The sequence below is a fragment of the Homo sapiens genome, chromosome 5 (assembly GCF_000001405.40).
Source record: "Homo sapiens chromosome 5, GRCh38.p14 Primary Assembly".
In the NCBI taxonomy this organism is placed as follows: Eukaryota; Metazoa; Chordata; class Mammalia; order Primates; family Hominidae; genus Homo; species Homo sapiens.
In genome coordinates this window covers 172,381,836-172,398,042 of record NC_000005.10, presented here as the reverse complement: position 1 = coordinate 172,398,042, position 16,207 = coordinate 172,381,836, and the positions used below count along the sequence as shown (strand labels likewise).

At 44.7% G+C, this 16,207-nt stretch overlaps 1 protein-coding gene across 3 annotated transcripts in view, besides 1 other annotated feature; it reads left to right on the top strand.

Moving 5' to 3' along the window:
- SH3PXD2B (SH3 and PX domains 2B) overlaps positions 1-16,207 on the top strand; it is a 129,345-nt gene that overhangs the window by 56,483 nt on the left and 56,655 nt on the right. For all 3 annotated transcript variants that reach the window (NM_001308175.2, NM_001017995.3, XM_017009351.2), the window contains exons 4-5: positions 3,404-3,480; positions 15,916-16,007. In NM_001308175.2, coding sequence (NP_001295104.1) covers positions 3,404-3,480; positions 15,916-16,007 — 169 coding nt within the window. The remainder of the gene's footprint in view (positions 1-3,403; positions 3,481-15,915; positions 16,008-16,207) is intronic.
- Positions 2,271-2,471: a silencer, noted in NCBI's record as "peak5578 fragment used in MPRA reporter construct". NCBI's record gives its function as "represses an SCP1 promoter by STARR-seq MPRAs in K562 erythroleukemia cells {active_cell/tissue: K562}" and the evidence as "EXISTENCE:reporter gene assay evidence [ECO:0000049][PMID:32103011]".

The following is a 16,207-nucleotide window of genomic DNA, read 5'->3' as shown; positions in this document are numbered from 1 at the left end:
AAAGCCTCCAGTTTTTCTTTAGAGAGCGGCCACTGCTGAATCCAAACAGGTGTGTCAGATTTCCATTGTAAAGGGATAGGATCAGGAGGCGTGGCAGCGGCCGCCACTAAAAAGGATAACCTAAACCCGCCCTGTTTTCTTTTACAGTAACTGGGAGGGGTTTAGTAATCCTTTCATGCTTTGGACCGAGACCGAGCCCAGGAACAAACCCCATGTTTTCCATCATATGCTGACTGGGAGCACTATAAGAGTTACGTGGAATATTAATTTCAGCCCCCCATTGTGCCAGTAAATCTCTACCAAAGGGAATTGGGTTCCCACATGCACTTAGGAAAAAAGAAAGACCATGTTGGGTGCCAGATATCGGGGGAACCCGCCCCCAATAATTCAATGTTATTTCACGTAGGTTCTTTTCTATTTCCCTAAGTGTCGGCCAGTCTGAGAAATAAAGGGAAAGAGTACAAAAGAGAGAAATTTTAAAGCTGGGTGTCCGGGGGAGACATCACATGTCGGCAGGTTCTGTGATGCCCCCCAAGCTGCAAAACCAGCAAGTTTTATTAGTGATTTTCAAAAGGGGAGGGAGTGTACGAATAGGGTGTGGGTCACAGAGATCATGTGCTTCACAAGGTAATAAAATATTACAAGGCAAATGGAGGCAGGGCAAGATCACAGGACCGGGGCAAAATTTAAATTGCTAATGAAGTTTCGGGCATGCATTGTCATTGATAACACCTTATCAGGAGACAGGGTTTGAGAGCAGACAACGGTCTGACCAAAATTTATTAGGCGGGAATTTCCTCATCCTAATAGGACTGGGAGCGCTACAGGAGACCGGAGCTTATTTCATCCCTTATCTGCAACCATAAAAGACAGACGTTCCCAGAGTGGCCATTTCAGAGACCTCCCCCTAGGAATGCATTCTCTTTCTCAGGGCTGTTCCTTGCTGAGAAAAAGAATTCAGCAATATTTCTCCTATTTGCTTTTGAAAGAAGAGAAATATGGCTCTGTTCCGCCTGGCTCTCAGGCAGCCAGACCTAAAGGTTATCTCCCTTGTGATACTTTGTGATACGTATTCATCTACATTTTTTTCTTTCTTTTTTTGAGACAGAGTTTTGCTCTTGTCACCCAGGCTGGAGTGCAATGGCATGATCTCAGCTCACTGCAACCTCCATCTCCTGGGTTCAAGCGATTCTCCTGCCTCAGTCTCCTGAGTAGCTGGGATTACAGGCATGTGCCACCAGCTAATTTTTGTATTTTTAGTAGAGACGGGGTTTTACCACGTTGGCCAGGCTAGTCTCAAATTCCTGACCTCAGGTTATCCACCTGCCTTGACTTCCCAAAATGTGGGGATTACAGGCGTGAGCCACCGCACCCAGCCTAGATATTTTTTTAATTGGTGAAAATGAGCAAAAAAAAAAAAAAAAAAGGCTTTCTCTCTTTTTTTAAATTTACCTTGTCTACCTAGTTTCCAAATAGTGTCCTTTTGCACCAGAGCAAGTTGTCCAGTTGTTTAAAATGTTGGATTAGCTACATGGTCTTTTAGGGTGCAAATCTCCTTTACCACTTTGCATTGCAAATCTTTAAAAGTCAGTAGGGTTGTTTTTCAACATTCCTTCCAGTTCTGTCATATGAAAATTCTTACTATACTAGCCTCTTTTTTTTTTTGAGACGGAGTCTCACTTATTCTGTCACCCAGGCTGGAGTGCTGTCGTATGATCTTGGATCACTGCATCCTCTGCCTCCCAGATGCGAGTGATTCTCCTGCCTTAGCTTCCTGAGTAGCTGGGACTACAGGCACATGCTACCACACCAGGCTGATTTTTTTTTTTTTTTTTTTTTTTTTTGTATTTTTAGTAGAGACAGAGTTTTGCCATGTTGGCCAGGTTGGTCTCAAACTCCTGACCTCAAGTGATCCACCCACCTCGGCCTCCCAAACTGCTGGGATTACAGGCGTGAGTCACCACGCCCAATCCTTACTAGACTTTTCTATGCCATCCTATCCCTGCCTGCCCGAGCTTGATCTGTGGAGATAGCCATCTCACCAGAAACCGTCTTAGATCAATAGTAATCTCTCTTCACCTTGCCAGCCTCTTGACCCAAATTCCTCTTTTTAACCAACCTCCTAGGACCAGAAATAGAGAGAGCTCTTAGTAGGTCTCCATGCTCTGCTCTCCAGAGCAGCTTTGGTCCTCCCACACCTTCCCCTTGACCTACCCATAGATACCCCCGGTTGCTCTGCACGAGCTTGGTAGAGGCTTATCTCCATCTCCCATGTCTTTGGCCCTCCTTTGTATCTTATTTCTGATTTCCCCCACCCCTGACTGTGTGGTAGATTCAGAATGGTGAGTCATGTGGTCTTAACCCTTAGTGCATATGCTTCGCCACTATCTCCCCAAGAGAGGATATCCTGTGTAAACTCTCTGAGAACCCACTGATTTGCTTTAAACAGGCATCGCCCATGACATTTCAATGTCTTGGATATTTCCAGAGATCTTCAGTGGCATCATGTATATACCCGTGTTTTCCTGTGACCCACATTCTCTACCCATGTGTCATATTGGTGGTTCATAGCCCCATGCCCCAGAGTTTCGGATGTTGTGAAGCAGGTCATGGACTCTCAGTTAATATTTGGTGAAATAAGAGAACTCAAAACCCTTCTCTTACGAACACTAACTGGGGAAGGAACTGGAAGGATCTGTCCTCTTTGCAGGTGGAAGCCACATTCATACATTTATCAAACATTATTGTCACAAAATGGACTGAGACGCAGTCAGTTCCTATTGGTGCAGAGCACATGATTGGTAGGACAGAAGAAGTGCTATAAAAATAAATAATGTGTGCAGTCAGAAAGAGCCAGGAACTCTTAACCCCTATGAGGGATGGTGGTGGGGATGCATGGGGAGGTGTCCAGGCAGAGGGGAGGGCTCAGAATGGTAGAGCACGGGGGTTTAGGGAACATGAGGAAAAGGCAGAGGGTGAATGAGGAGAAGGGAGGAGACTGAACTATTGCTGAGGGCATGTCTGTTTGTCCACTGTACTGTTCACCCAGCCAGAATCCTGGAGTTGGACAGGACCTCACATGCTCGGGTCCAACCTTCTTTCTTCATCAGGTAGGAGCGGCTTCCTTCCACAGTTGCTTCCAGCCTCCCTTATCTCACCAAAACTTATTCCGTGGGTCCCATTCCCCCAAGCCCTTGTGTTAAAGCTGTGAACAGGGTTTAGGGGGACCTCACATGGGCTTATCCAAGCCTCACGGAAGTCCAGTGGGGGTACCTTGATCGCAGCCAGGAATTTTGGCACCACTCAGACCTACCCTAGGAACCGCCATGTCCACACCCTCTCAGGTTGCTGAGAGCTTGTCCCTGTTCCCTGACAACACTGTCTTTGCTCTCATCTTCTGCAGGTAAGATTCTCTTCAGACGAAGCCACATCCGGGACGTGGCTGTCAAACGCCTGATACCAATTGATGAATACTGTAAGGTAAGGCTGAGAAATGCCCACGCAGTCTTCCCTGTAGGTGTATTCTGTTTTCTTTTCTTTTTCTGGCTACAAGATGCTCAACAATAAAAATTTGTGCAATTCAAAGGAATGTAAAGAAATTAGGGGGAAAATCATTCATTATCATTCAACTTAGAGGCAACAGTTAGTTATTAAGGGTTTTACATATTTCCTTTCCACCTTTTCTTTATGTGCATTTCTTAATGATGTTGAGACCATTCTGTATGTGTAATTTTGTTGCTCTTTCTCTTTTGCCATAATTATTATGTGAGAATTTCCCTACTATTAAAACATCCTCTTGACTGGGTACAGTGGCTCACGCCTATAATCCCAGCATTTTGGGAGGCCGAGGCAGGTGGATCACTTGAAGTCAGGAGTTCGAGACCAGCCTGACCAAACATGTTGAAACCCCATCTATACTAAAAATACAAAAATTAGCCAGGTGTGGTGGGACACACCTGTAGTCCCAGCTACTCGGGAGGCCGAGGCAGGAGAATCGCTTGAACCTGGGAGGTGGAGGTTGCAGTGAGCTGAGATGGCACAATACACTCCCACCTGGGCAACAGAGTGAGGCTCTGTCTCAAAAAAAAAAAAATCCTCTTAAGCCTACTTTTAATGACCACGTAGTATTCCATTATACATTCATGCTTCCAAAGTTATTTAGCCAATCCCTGTTGTTTGATGGTGCAGCAGCTTCCTGTCCCTTGAACGTCCTAAACAACAAGAGACCTGCCTTTTGGTTATATTTCATTTGACTTGAGGCTATAGTCAGGAAAGGAGCATGTTTTTATATTGTTTAGCAGCTTTTCTTTGGTATTTGTTTCTCCAAGTTAAAATCACTAGCGATTCTGATGGGAGAGGGGTAGGAATAGCAAGAAATGTTTTTTAAATGGAGCAGTGAACAATCTCCCCCTCAGATCAGGAACAAAGCAAGTATGTTTACCCTTACATGTCTGTTCTACATTTTACTAGGGGACTAGCCAGTGTAAGCACACAAAAAAGAAAGAAAAGCCATCCAGATTGGGAAGGAAAGAGTATTGACTCTTGACTCACAGATGACACGATTCTCTATGCAGAAAATCATAAGAGATCCATCAAAAAAATATTAGGACAAATCAATGAGTTTAGTAAAATCAGGATAAAAGCTCAATATACAGAAAACAATTGTATTTCTAAATCCTAGGAACAAATAATCCAGAAATGAAATTAAGAAAACAGTCCCACTCCCAATAGCATCAAAAAGAATAAAATACTTAGAAATAAATTTAACAAAAGAAGTGCAGGGTTTATATAAAACATTTCAATGAAAATTAAAGAAGATCTAAATGCATGGAGAGATATTCCATACTTGTGGATTGGAAGACTCAATATTGTTAAAATGGAACTCCTCCCAGAATGAATCTACATATTCAATACAATCCCTGTCAAAATCTTTTCTATAGGCTTTTTTATAGAAATTGACAAGCCAATCCTCAAGTGTATGTGGAAATATAAAGGATCCAGAATAGTCAAAACACTTTTGAAAAAGAACAACGTTAGATGAGCCATATTACCCATTTTGAAAACTGCCTACAAGGTGCAGTAATCAGGATAGTATGGTACTGACAAAAATAGGCATGTAGATCAGCGGAACAACATTGAGAGTCCAGAAATAAAATCCTACAAAATGTTTGATCAGCTGATATTCCACAAAGGTGCCAAGACAATTCACTGGCAAAAGGATAGTTTTTGTTTGTTTATTTGTTTTTGTTTTTGTTTTTGAGATGGAGTCTCGCCCTGTTGCCCAGGCTGGAGTGCCGTGGCGCCATCTCGGCTCACTACAACCTCCGCCTCCTGGGTTCAAGGGATTCTCCTGCCTCAGCCTCCTGAGTCGCTGGGATTACAGGCACCCACCACCATGCCTGGCTAATTTTTTTTTTTTTTTTGTATTTTTAGTAGAGACGGGGTTACACTATATGTTGGCCAGGCTGGTCTCAGACTCCTGACCTCAAGTGATCCACCCACTTCGGCCTCCCAAAGTGCTGGGATTACAGGCATGAGCCACCATGCTGGGCCGAAAAGGATAGTCTTTTTAACAAACAGTTGAGATAGTCACCTGTTGCATTCGTTTCCTAGGGCTGCATAGCAAAATACCACAAACTGGTTGGCTTACAACATCATTTAGTTTCCTACAGTTCTGGAGACTGGAAGTCTAGGCAGCAGGGCCTTCTGACCTCTCTCATTGGTTTATAGATGAAATGCCTCTTCTCCCTGTGTCTTTACAAGGTCTTTTCTGTACCTTTCTATGTCCTAATCTCCTGTTCCTGTAAAGACACAGTTATATTGGATTAAGGCACATCCCTAGTGACTTCATTTTACTTTAAATTACCTCTTTAAAGATCCCATCTCCAAATATATTCATATTCTAGGGGCTTGGGGGTTAGGTCTTTAATATATAAATAGGGGGTGGAGAGCAAAACACTATAACCCACAACAGCTATACATATGCAAAAAAAAAAAAATGAAGTTAGACCCTTATCTCAAAATGAAGTTAGATCCTTATCTCATACCATGCATGAAAATCAACTCAAAGTGGATCATAATCCTAAATATAAGAGCTAAAACTGTAAAACTTCTAGAAGAAAACATAGGAGAAACTCATCACGACCTTGAGTTGGGCAGAGTTTTTAGCTATGACTCCAAAAGTGTGAGCCTTTAAAGAAAAACTGATAAAAATTGAATTTAATTTAATTGACTTATAGACTTCTGTATCTCAAAAAGTACCATTAACAAAATGGCCAGGCCAGTGGCTCATGCCTATAATTCCAGCACTTTGGAGTGCCAAGGCAGACAGATCACAAGGCAGACAGAGGTCCAGGGTTTGAGACCAGCCTGGCCAACTTGGTGAAACCTCATCTCTACTAAAAATACAAAAACTAGCCGGGCTTAGTGGCACACGCTTGTAATCCCAGCTACTTGGGAGGCTGAAGTGGGAGGATGGCTTGAATCCAGGAGGTGGAGGTTGCAGTGAGCCAAGATCGTGCCACTGCACTCCAGCCTGGGCAACAGAGTGAGACTCCATCTCAAAAAAAGAGAAAGAAATGGCAAGCCGTGGACTGGGAGAAAATATTTGTTAATCATATATCTGATAAAGGATTTGTATTGAACATACACCAAGAACTCAATAATAGTAAGACAACCCGATTTTAAAGACTTCAATAAAAATTTTACCCAAGAAGGCATAGGAATGACTAGTAAACACATGAATAGATGCTCAATATCATTAGTCATTATGGGAATGCAAAATAAAACCATAATGAGATACTTATACAGCCACTAGAGTTGCTTATAATCAACAAGACAGGACAATACCAAGTGATGGTGAGAACATAGAGTAACTGGAGCCCTTAAGATAGGAAGCTGCAAGCCGGGCGTGGTGGCTCACGGCTGTAATCCCAGTACTTTGGGAGGCTGAGGCGGGTGGATCACCTGAGGTCGGGAGTTCGAGACCAGCCTGACCAAAATGGAGAAACCCCATCTCTACTAAAAATACAAAATTAGCCAGGCGAGGTGGCGCATGCCTGTAATCCCAGCTACTCAGGAGGCTGAGGCAGGAGAATCGCTTGAACCCGGGAAGTGGAGATTGCGGTGAGCCGAGATCGTGTCATTGCACTCCATCCTGGGCAACAAGGGCAAAACTCTGTCACACACACACACACACACACACACACACACACACACACACACACAAAAGACGGGAAGCTACTTTGGAAGACAGTTTGGCAGTTTCCTCAAAAGTTAAACTTGTCATATGACCACTCTTAGGTATATACTCAAGCGAATTGAAAACTTGTGTCCACACAAAGACTTGGCTGCAAATGTTCATGGCAACATTAATTCATAATAGCCAACAACTGGAAGTGATCCACAAGTTCATCAGCTGGTGCATGGATACACAAAATGTGTAATATCCATACAATAGACATATCTTTTTATTTGGCAATAAAAGGCACTGGGAGCGTGCCACAGTGGCTTGAGCCTGCACTCCCAGGACACAGAAGGCTGAGGCAGGAGGATTGCTTGAGTCCAGGAGTTGGAGGCTGCCATGAGCCTTGATAGTGCTACTGTACTCCAGCCTGGGTGACAGAGCAAGACTCCAGCTCTAAATAAATAAATTAAGCAATGAAACACTGGTAAATGCTACAAGCTGGATGAATCTCCAAAGCATAATGCTAAGTGAAAGAAGCCAGATGTGTACAACTACATATTGTATGATTCTGTTTATATGAAATCTGCAGAAAAGGCAAATTTATGGAGGCAAAAAGCAGATCAGTGGTTTCCCAGACCTGGGGGTGGTAGAAGAAACAGAGATGACCTGTAAATTAGGTTGGGGGACATTTTTGAAGTGATGGAAAAGTTTTGAAACTAGATTGTGGTGATTGCTGCACAACTCTGTAATTTACCAAATAACATTGATATTGTGCACTTATAATGGGTAAATTTTATGGTATGTAATTTATGCCACGGTAAATCTGTTAAAAAGTATTAGTCCAGGCGCAGTGGCTCATGCCTGTAATCCCAGCAGTTTGGGAGGCTAAGGTGGGAAGACTGCTTCAGGCCAGGAGTTTGAGACCAGCCTGGGCAACATAGTGAGACCCCCATCTCTACAAAAAAAGTGTTGAACAGAAGGGGGCAGTGTGGGGACAGATGATCCCTCTCTTGGCAGGAGATATCAAAGAAGGTCAGAAAACCTCTCCTGATTGGCATCTGCTCTTTGCCAGATGGGACCTTGTCTTATCTCTCCAACCACTTTGAGGAGTAGGCTTTATTTTTATTATTTTGAGACAAGGTCTTGCTCTATCTCCCAGGCTGGATACAGTAGGGTGACCTTGGTTCACTGCAACCTCAGTCTCCTAGGCTCAAGTGATCCTCCCACCTCAGCCTCCTGAGTAGCTGGAACTACCAGCACATACCAATTTTTTTTTTTTTTTTTTTTTGGTAGAGATGAGGTTTCACCATGTTGTCCAGGCTGGTCTCGAATTCCTAGGCAGGAGTAAGTTTTATTATTCCCATTGTGTAGATGAGGAGGTGGAGGCCCAACAAAGTTACTTACAATAAGATTTTAGGTTTGAGTGTTAGAGAGTTGGACTCAAGCCTTTTACACCTCCACACTCACATACCACTTATGGCCTCTAAGAAAGTAAAAATGCAAGGCCGGGCATGGTGGCTCATGCCTGTAATTCCAGCATTTTGGGAGGCCAAAGCAGGCAGATCACGAGGTCAGGAGTTTGAGACCAGCCTGACCAATGTGGTGAAACCCCATCTCTACTAAAAATATAAAAATTATCCAGGTGTGGTGGTCGGCACCTGTAATCCCAGCTACTCAGGAGGCTGAGGCAGGAGAATTGCTTGAACCCAGAAGGCAGAGGTTGCAGTGAGCCAAGATCATGCCATTACACTCCAGCCTGGGTGACACAGTGAGACTCAGTCTCAAAAAAAAAAAAAAAAGAAAAAGTAAAAATGCAAAAGGCCAAGATATTCAAATGTGTGTTTCTTAGAGCCAGATAAACCCAGACTCTTCTGTCTTCTAAGTACCTGATGACAAAGGAAGGGCCAGGGCTAAGGGGCAGCCATCAGCGCTGCTGTTGCCTCCCAGCCCTCAGAAGAAGGTTCAGCTCTTCCTTGTCACTTTCCAAACCTCTAGAGCCTGAAATTCCAATTCTGGAGATGATCTTCTTTTGTCCAGGCCCTGCTGGCAAGGACTATAGGGTCACCTTGCCTAGCCGGGAAGTTCCAGTTCATAACTTCCCCAGAATCTGTTGTCCCTCAGCCCAAATCAGCCTATTCTGCTTCTTGCCCAGCCCACCTGACTTCTCTCCAGAGTCAGACTTTCCTTGCACCCAGGGCTTCACCAACTCCTGGACTTTTGGTTTTGAAAAGGAAATTTAAAATCCGAGAGTAATACAGGATAGCAGCAGCCTGATGCTTGAAATGGTACAGAGATAATGAATTCACTTGGACTAACCACAGGGAGGGAACTGCTTATGTTAAATGAGCCACGGGGAAGTTACTACCCCCTGCTATTAATGAAACATAATAAATAGAGTGGATATTTGGAGTTTTTTGGCCAGATTTCCTGGGCTCAGCTTCAAGGGAACTGATGAAATGATCCCTTTCTTTTATAGACTACATAGGCTGTTACATGACATTTGGGTATCTGTTACTGACATTGTTGTGAACCAACTGAAGCCAATTTGATCTATCATAACTAGCTTTATTTTAGTAGAAAATGAAGGTCTCTAATAGAGATAGATGAGAGCTATAGATGATACCCCAAATTTAGCTACCAAGTTTATATTACAATGGAAGAAACTTTCTGCTCTACCAGACCTATTGTAAAGTTACAGTAGTTAACATAGTGCAGTATTAGCACACGGATAGACAGACTCTTGAAACAAATAGAAAACCCAGAAACAGATCCATGTGTATTTGGATGGGCACTGTGATACTGACAAAGGCAGCCTTGCAGATCATTCCTCAATAAATGGGTATCCACATGGGAAAAAAACAAAAAAGATAACTTATCCCTGCCTCACACCACACATGAAATCATTTCCAAGAAAATTAAAGACATAAATGTAAGAGGCAATATTACAAAATGTTTTAGGAGATAACATTAGGAAAATATATTTATAATCTCTAGGTATAGGATTTCTAAAGATACAAAAAGGATACCAAGCACAAAAAGATTGGTTTATTTGAATACATTAAATTTAAGAACTTCTGTTCATCAAAAGACACAATGAAAATATGACTTAGCTGAATCCTGTCACACATACAAGTATTTATTATCAAGCCACCTCATAAATAGCCACTCAAGTTTTTCTGGAAGCTCCTTGAAATCCCAGTTGTCTGTCTGACATCTCTTTGCATGAATGATTCCTCAAGGCAGATGCAACCACATTCTAGAGGCAGGATCAGCTCATCCTAACCGTGGTCTGACAGTAAAATCCTCAAGAAGAGGCTGAACCCTAAATCCTAGACCCAGGGCCCCGTTCTGAAGGGTGTACGGTACTGGGCTCACCAGGTTCTGTTTGTGCAAGGGCCAGAGTGTCTGAGAATATTTCTAGGAACATTTCACCAGTAGAAAACAAAAATTCTAACAACAGTTAAGCTAATGAATAAAGGCTGTGGCATTGATCCACAATGAAGACAGCTAAAGCCCTGAAGCAGCCTTTTCTGAAGTGTGGACTTCTGATTAGAGTCTTTCACTTGCACCAGTGTTCATTCTCAATGAGGGGACTTCAGGTAGTAACTAAGCATCATACGGTGTAGCTTAAATGGAACACACATGCAAACATACACACTTGTGAGTGTGTGTGCCCATGCTGTAGTATTTTAAACTATGGGCAACATAACAGTAGTATTTACCAGGCTCCAGTCACTTGAGACTTCCCTTCTGGAATTCTGTCATACACCACCCACCTATATTATTATTCATATTTTTCTTCAACTCACTTTTTGAACTTCTTCAGATTATGAGACTGGCTTGCTGCCTACTGTGCTGAGGGCTTCCTGACTTTTTGAACTTCTGAAAACAATATGTCTTCGAGAAAACTTTATATCACAACCATAACATAAAACTGGTATCAGCTCACGCCTGTAATCCCAACACTTTGGAAGGCCGAGGCAGGTGGATCGCTTGAGCCCAGCAGTTTGAGACCGGCCTGGGCAACGTGGTGAAACCCTGTTTCTACTAAAAAGACAAAAATTAGCCAGGCGTGGTGGTGCACGCCTGTAACCCCAGCTACTCAGGAGGCTGAGGTGGGAGGATCTCGAGCCCAGGAGGTGGAGACTGCAGTGAGCTGAGATCCCACCCCGTGCTACAGCCTGGGCCACAGAGCCAGACCCTGTCTCAAAAACAAGCAAACAAACAAAACAAAACAAATGGGTATCATGTGCCTGCCATAAAAATAAAAACAATAAAACAACAACAACAACAGAAAACGTTTTTAAATCTGGCTAACTGCTGTTACCTGCCTACCGGAGGCTCTGCAGAGCCCGTCCTGCTCTCAGGAAGCAAGTTAGACAAGTGTTACTTCTCTGGGGCATTCTTTTTTAAATTAAAGAGGGTTGAAAGAGAATTGAGAAAACATGAACCTTCTCCCTAGCCAAGATATTGTCATTTAACATAATCATCTGGCTGCCTCTGAAATCGCCTTTGGAAACACTATATTCTTGTACCTGGGACAGTATAGAGAGCCAACAGGGTTATCCAGTGTCCATCAAGCAGCTAATATATGATGGAAACCATACAACCACTTCCTCACTTATTCTATAGCACAGCCCTCCAAGATGGGTGTTCTTTATTTCCGCTTTACAGATGAGTAGACTGAGGCTCAGAGAGGCAGTGAGACTTGGCCAGAATCTCACAGCCAGGAAGTGACGAGGCCAGAGTCAGGAGCTGGTTCTCTCTGACCTTTATTGTTACCCTCTGCAAGCAGGACTTGCTCTCCTCTCTCGTGCCTGCATCAGCCACATCTGTCCAAAGCGCCAGGATCCGTTCCAGAACAGGACTGAGTTTGCTGGAGCTGTGGTTCTTTGTCACTACTGACAGGACTTAGGACTATCCTGGAGTCTTTCAGAAGCAGAATGGTTTCTCCAGCCCCGGGTCATTTTTTACTGGTAGCCAAGTCCATCCCAAATGAAATGGGCCAACATCAAAGCATTCAGCCCTGCCTTTTATTAGTAACTTGACTTCTTTTATGGTTTAGGGGTTTGGTTTGGCTTTTACTTCCTAGGCATAGCTCAAAACCAGAAGAGAACTTGGCATCATCAGGAGGTTTCCATGGGCCTCGTTGTCCCTTCCCCTTCTGGTCCATTTGGGGCCTCTGCCCATCCTGGGAGGCCCCCTCCAGGCAGAGACAGTGACCACCTCCAGGGGCCATTCCCCACACCCACCCAAGTCTCCTCTAGCAGAGACACATGGCCAGCTCCGGGCTGTTGCCTCGTGTTATTTAGGGTCTCCCCAGCACTGTCTAGGCACGTAGGGAAGGTGAAGGAGGAACAGCTGCCACCCTGCCGCCTTTTGTGGATTTAAGGTAGAGGTTTGCAGTCAGCCTTTCCTGGACTCTCTAGACCAAGCCACCTCAACAGAGCCTCCATTTCCCCATCTCTTAAATGGGCCAGCCTTCCCAGGGTTACATAAAGTGACACAGATGAACACGTTTCAGGAGCCTCCCAGTGCTAAGCCAAGGTCGAGGAGTGCTGTTATTGTAGTCTTGGGGGGAAGCCACAAGATATTTGCACACAAAGCAGCCAGGACACACCACAGTCCAGCATATAATCAGCTCCTTCATTATGTGGCTCCAACTGCAAGGGCTGCAGGATTTCAGAGGAAAAAGAGGCCCATGGGGAGGGGGGAGCAGACAGCAGCTCATCCAGGCCAGGAGAATGACCACTCACTGCTTGGAACCAGAAAAAGAAGGGGGACCAGAAACAGGAGGTGAGGGAGGGAAGGGCCTGCTCCTGTCTCTGGGACTCCCTGATTCAACTCTGGAAACAGTCCTTAAGGATTTGCTGCAGAGCAGGAGCTACTTAAAGGCTAATTTTAAAAATCGGTGAGCCCTTTAGTCACCCCTCAGAAGGGTGGAAGGGTGGACAGTGACCAGGGAAGGTGCCCTACTAGACCATCCACGTCCCTCATGATGTGTTTATCCATTTTGAGTCTGGAGCAGATTGCAGCTCGGGGACTTAAAGTTAGAGCCTGATTCAAAGTAATGTAGGGTTGGCAACCCAAGTGTCCATCGACAGGTGAATGATAAGCAAAATGCGGTGTATCCAGACAATGGAATATTACTCAGCCTTTAAAAGGAAGGAAGTGTTTACGCCTGCTGCAAGCATGAACCTTGAATGGATGAGCATGCTAAATGACATCAGCCAGACTCAAAAAGACAAACACTGTATGATTCCACTTATATGAGCTACCTGGAATCATCAATCCCTAGAGACAGAAGTAGAATGGTGGTTGCTGGGGGAGGGTGGAAGGGTAGTTGTTGTTTAATGGGTACAGAGTTTCAGTTTTGCAAGATGAATAGAGTTCTGTGGATGGATGGCGGTGCTGGTAGCACAGCAGTGTGAATGCATTAAATACTTAATGCACCGTACGGTACACTTGAAAATGGGTAAGATGGTAAGCTTTTTACTGTGTGTATTTTACCACAATTTAATTTTTTTAATGGGAGAAATAATTGTGTAGGGTCAACATATCCCCAAAGCCCTGTAAAAGGTGCCACACTGGAGGCCTCCATTCATCTCTCCGTTGGTCCACGAGAGCCCAGTACTGCTGCAGCGTCGGCACATCACTTTGGGAGTTGGGTGGTGAGCTATTAAGGGCTGGTTATATAGAAAATGCAAGACACAGGCCGGGCGCAGTGGCTCACGCCTGTAATCCCAGCACTTTGGGAGCCGAGGTGGGTGGATCACGAGGTCAGGAGATCGAGACTATCCTGGCCAACATGGTGAAACCCCATCTCTACTAAAATATAAAAAATTAGCCGGGTGGGGTGGCGTGCGCCTGTAATCCCAGCTACTAGGGAGGCTGAGGCTGGGGAATCACTTGAACCCGGGAGGCAGAGGTTGCAGTGTGCTAAGATAGCACCACAGCACTCCAGCCTGGTGACAGAGCAAGACTCTGTCTCAAAAAAAAAAAAAGAAAGAAAGAAAGGAAATGCAAGACACATCTCTTCTATCCCCAGACCCCAGAGACTCAGGCTCAGCATGGTGAGAAGGCTCATGAGAGGCACCAGGGAACTGAGGCCCTCTAGGAGAGAACAGAGTCCAGCCTCATGCAGAGCACGCACTGCTTGGGCAGCTTGGCTGGCAGAATCACCTGTGCAATTCATGCATATGCACACGTGTTCTCTGCACAGGTGTGTGCAACAAAATGTATGCGTGAACCACCTGAACCACCCTCAGATCTGCATCCTCATTACCCTGGTCCAGGGCCCGGGCCAAAGGAGGCTTAAGTAAATATTTGTTAAACTGAGCTGTTTATTCATGATGGCCATGTCTGAGTTTCGGATCCTTCAACGAGCAGAGTGTACCCTGCACTTCTGTTGTATTTGGCACAGAAACTAGTGCAGTGCTGAGCACAAAGAAAATTTTTGCTCATTGAATCATTGAATGAATACCTGTTAGTAGATAAACCAGCTTTGTGGAGGTTAGTAAATAAACCAGCATTGTGGAGGGCTACACAGCCAGTGAGTCACTGGGGCAGATTAATGTGGAATTTGGCCAGTGGAAGATCTGTTTCAACCCCTCATCAACTTGGAGACTTTGAACCTCTATCCAAATCATAAAACAGTCCCTTCACTTTAATGCTTCAGATTCGTGAGTTAAGACATATATGTGAGCATGTTGGAAATAACCTAAAGATTCACCAGTAGACGAGTTGAATAAAGTATGACACAGCTGTACAAAATCCAGTATCCAGTATAGATGATGTTATAGAAGAATAATGAAATGAGCCAGGTGCAGTGGCTCAAACACCTGTAATCCCAGCACTTTGGGAGGCTGAAGTGGGTGGATCACTTGAGGCCGGGAGTTCGAGACCAGCCTGGCCAACATGCCGAAACCCTGTCTCTACTAAAAATACAAAAAAAAAAAAAATTAGCCAGGCATGGTAGCACATGCCTATAATCCCAGCTACTCAGGAGACTAGGGCACAAAAATCGCTTGAACCCAGGAGGCAGAGGTTGTGGTGAGCCGAGGCTGCACCACTGCACTCCAGCCTGAGTGACAGAGCAAGATCCTGTCTCAACATAAATAAATAAGAATAATGAAATGGCATGAAGTTGACAATTTATAGCTAAGTGAAAGCATAGGTTTACTAAATAGCATGTACAGTATGGTCTGATTTTGCCTAAATATGGACATATTACTTGAACAAATATGCCTATAATATATGCGTGTATATCATACATTGTGTGTGTGTGTGTGTGTGTGTGTTGTTCTCCAAACCAGCAGCATCACCAGGAAACTTTTTTAGAAATGCACATCCTCAGCCCCCTCCGCAGAACTACTGGATCAGAAACTCGGGTGGGGCTCCACGATCTGTGTTTTAATAAGCCCTCCAAGTGATTCTGGTGCCTTCCCGAGTCTGAGAGCCACTGGTGGTATATGGCATTCCTAACACCCGTCTCCTTCCTTTGCTTTTTGGGTTTGCTTTTGTGTTTGTATGTGTGTGTGTTTGAGACAGTCTCGCTCTGTCACCCAGTCTGGAGTGCAGTGGCGCGATCTCAGCTCACTGCAACCTCCGCCTCCCAGGTTCAAACAATTATCTTGCCTCAGCCTCCCGAGTAGCTGGGATTATAGGCGCGTGCCACCATGCTCAGCCCCCTCTCCTCCTTTGCACTCACCTGCGTCTCTCTTCTCCAGGCCCTCATCCAGCTGCCCCCCTACATCTCTCAGTGTGATGAGGTGCTGCAGTTCTTTGAGACAAGACCTGAGGACCTGAATCCCCCCAAAGAGTAAGTTTGTTTGTGGGCTTCCCCAGATGGAGCCCCACAGCCCTCCCTCCTGCCAGTCCAGCCACCCCCAAGTAAAGCAAAGTGCAGCCAAAAGTGGGTTTCGTCGGCTGAGCCCCTGTGAGACCGCACTTCACTTAGCCTTCAGAGTTGCTGTAAGTGGGTAGCGATCGTCCGTTTGACAGGTGAAGGAAACTGGCTGA